The sequence below is a fragment of the Homo sapiens genome, chromosome 19 (genome assembly GCF_000001405.40).
Source record: "Homo sapiens chromosome 19, GRCh38.p14 Primary Assembly".
Lineage (NCBI taxonomy): Eukaryota > Metazoa > Chordata > Mammalia > Primates > Hominidae > Homo > Homo sapiens.
In genome coordinates, this window is record NC_000019.10 from 10,248,578 (window position 1) to 10,251,568 (window position 2,991).

Sequence of the window (2,991 nt, forward strand, 5' to 3'; positions counted from 1 at the left end):
TACAAACATTAGTCAGGTAGGGAGCATCACTTGAGAACAGGAGTTCAAGACCAGCCTGGACAACAAAGCAAGACCTCTGCCTCTACAAAAAAAAAAAAAAAAAAAAAAAATTGCTGGGCATGGTGGAACATGCCTGTGGCCTCAGCTACTTAGGTGGCTGCAGCAGAGGATCATCTGAGGCCAGGAATTCAAGACTACAGTGAACTATAATCGTTACACTGCACTACAGACTGGTAACAGGGTGAGATCCTGTCTCAAAAACAACAGCAACAAAATAAACGATTAAAAGACCTTTTAAAGTTGCAAAATACATAGAGTCTTAAACATGCATCCACAGTTATTTATTTATTTATTTAGAAACGGAGTTTCACTCTTGTTGCCCAGGCTGGAGTGCAATGGTGCGGTATCAGCTCACTGCAACCTCCGCCTCCCAAGTTAAAGGAATTCTGCCTCAGCCTTCCAAGTAGCTGGAATTACAGGCATGCGCCACCATGCTCGGCTAATTTTGTATTTTTAGTAAAGATGGGGTTTTGGCATATTGGCCAGGATGGTTTCGAACCCCTGACCTCAGGTGATCCACCCGCCTCGGACTCCCAAAGTGCTAGGATTATAGGCATGAGCCACCACGCCCGGCCGCATTCAGTTATTCTTGCAGGGATAAAATACACAATGAAATACACTATACTTTTTGTTTTCTTTCTTTCTTTTTTTTTTTTTTTTTTGAGACAGAGTCTCACTCGTCGCATGGGCTGGAGTGCGGTGCGGGATCTCGGCTCACTGCAACCTCTGCCTCCTGGGTTGAAGCGATTCTCCTGCGTCAGCCTCCCGAGTAGCTGGGATTACAGGTGCCCGCCACTACGCCCAGCTAATTTTTTTGTATTTTTAGTAGAGATAAGGTTTCACCATGTTGGCCAGGCTGGTCTCGAACTCCTGACTCGTGATTCGCCCACCTTGGCCTCCCAAAGTGCTGGGATTACAGGCGTGAGCCACCGCACCCGGCCACATTTTTTTTTTTTTTTTTTTGAGACAGGATCTTAGTCTGTCACCCAGGCTGGAGTACAGTGGCATGAACATGGCTCACTGCAGCCTCAATCTCTTGGGTTCAGGTGATCCTTCTGCCTTAGCCTCCCCATTAGCTGGGACCACAGGCATATACCATCACACCTAGCTAATTTTTAAATTTTTGGTAGAGGCCAGGCGCGGTGGCTCACGCCTGTAATCCCAGCACTTTGGGAGGCCGAGTCGGGTGGATCACCTGAGGTCGGGAGTTCGAGACCAGCCTGGCCAAAATGGTGAAACCCTGTCTCTACTAAAAATAAAAAATAAAAATAAAAATTAGCTGGGCGTAGTGGCGGGCGCCTGTAATCCCAGCTACTCGGGAGGCTGAGGCAGGAGAATCGCTTGAACCCAGGAGGCAGAGGTTGCAGTGAGCCAAGATCGCGCTACTGCACTCCAGCCTGGGCAACAGAGTGAGATTCTGTCTCAAAAAAAAAATAATAATAATGCTATTTATTGACTTTACACCTTGTACCAGGCATGGGAAGCTTTGCCTCCATTACGTCACTGAATCTCATAACCTCCTTTTCCAGCAGAGGAAAATGAGGTTGGTTCACAGACCACGTTGTCAGCTGTGCTCTGTCCAGAACGCACTGGCCTCCAAGTAGACAGCCCTGGACTGGTAGGGAAGCCGGCTATGATCCGGTGGCGCCCCCTGGAGGTCTATCGGGAACATGGTAAAGAACCTAAAAATGGGTGGGCCACAGTAGCTCATGCCTGTAATCCCAGCACTTTGGGGGACCAATGCGGGAGAATTGCTTGAGCCCAGGAGTTCAAGACCAGCCTGGGCAACATTGGGAGACCCACCCCCCGCCATCTCTACAAAAAAAAAATTAGGCCGGGCGCGGTGGCTCAGGCCTGTAATCCCAGCACTTTGGGAGGCCGAGGCGGGTGGATCACCTGAGGTCAGGAGTTCAAGACCAGCCTGGCCAACGTGGTGCCACACTGTCTCTAATAAAAACACGAAAATTAGGGCCGGGCTCGGTGGCTCACGCCTGTAATCCCAGCACTTTGGGAAGCCGAGGCGGGCGGATCACGAGGTCAGGAGATTGAGACCATCCTGGCTAACACGGTGAAACCCCCTCTCTACTAAAAATACAAAAAGTTAGCCAGGTGTGGTGGCGGGCGCCTGTAGTCCCAGCTACTCGGTAAGCTGAGGCAGGGAATCGCTTGAACCCGGGAGGCCGAGATGTGCGATCTCACACCACTGCACTCCGGCCTGGGCGACAGAGCGATACTCCATCTCAAAATACAAATACAAAATAAAAAAATACAATACAAAAATGAGCCGGGCTTGCGTACCTGTAGACCAGCTACTCAGGAGACAGAGGCAGGAGAATCCCTTGAGCTCTGGAGGTCGAGGCTGCAGTAAGCCATGATCTTGCCCATTGCACTCCAGCCTGGGCGACAGAGGAAGACCTTGTCTCTAAAAACCAAAACAAAGAAACTAAAAATAAGCATTCGGATTTGTTAGGGGGCGACAAGGGAGGCACTCCAGGATCTGTGGACTCCCCACTTTGTTCTGTCCTTGGAGAGCCCTGGAAGGTCTGAGAGGGGACGGGACCTGGTTTAAGGGGGTAGGGGAGAGGACCCTGGTCTAGGGGGTAAGGGACACAAATACCTAATCTGAGGGGTTTCGGGGGGACATGGCCCTGCCCTGGGGAATCTAAACTGGGAGGCATGGTCTGGCAGGCCCAATCCTGAAGGCTTTCTGAGGGCAATAAGGCCCTGCCTTTAAACAAATGAAAAAACGCCAGGCACGGTGGCTCACGCCTGTAATCCCAGCACTTTGGAAGGCTGAGGCGGGAGGATCACGAGGTCAGGAGATCGAGACCATCCTGGCTAACGCGGTGATACCCGTCTCTACTAAAAATACAAAAAATTAGCCAGGCGTGGTGGCGGGCGCCTGCAGTCCCAGCTACTCGGGAGGCTGAG

The 2,991-nt window shown here is 50.9% G+C and overlaps 1 annotated feature.

The window, feature by feature from the left end:
• Positions 1,573-1,622: a silencer, noted in NCBI's record as "silent region_10060". NCBI's record gives its function as "represses an Ori minimal core promoter by ATAC-STARR-seq in GM12878 lymphoblastoid cells {active_cell/tissue: GM12878}" and the evidence as "EXISTENCE:reporter gene assay evidence [ECO:0000049][PMID:35858748]".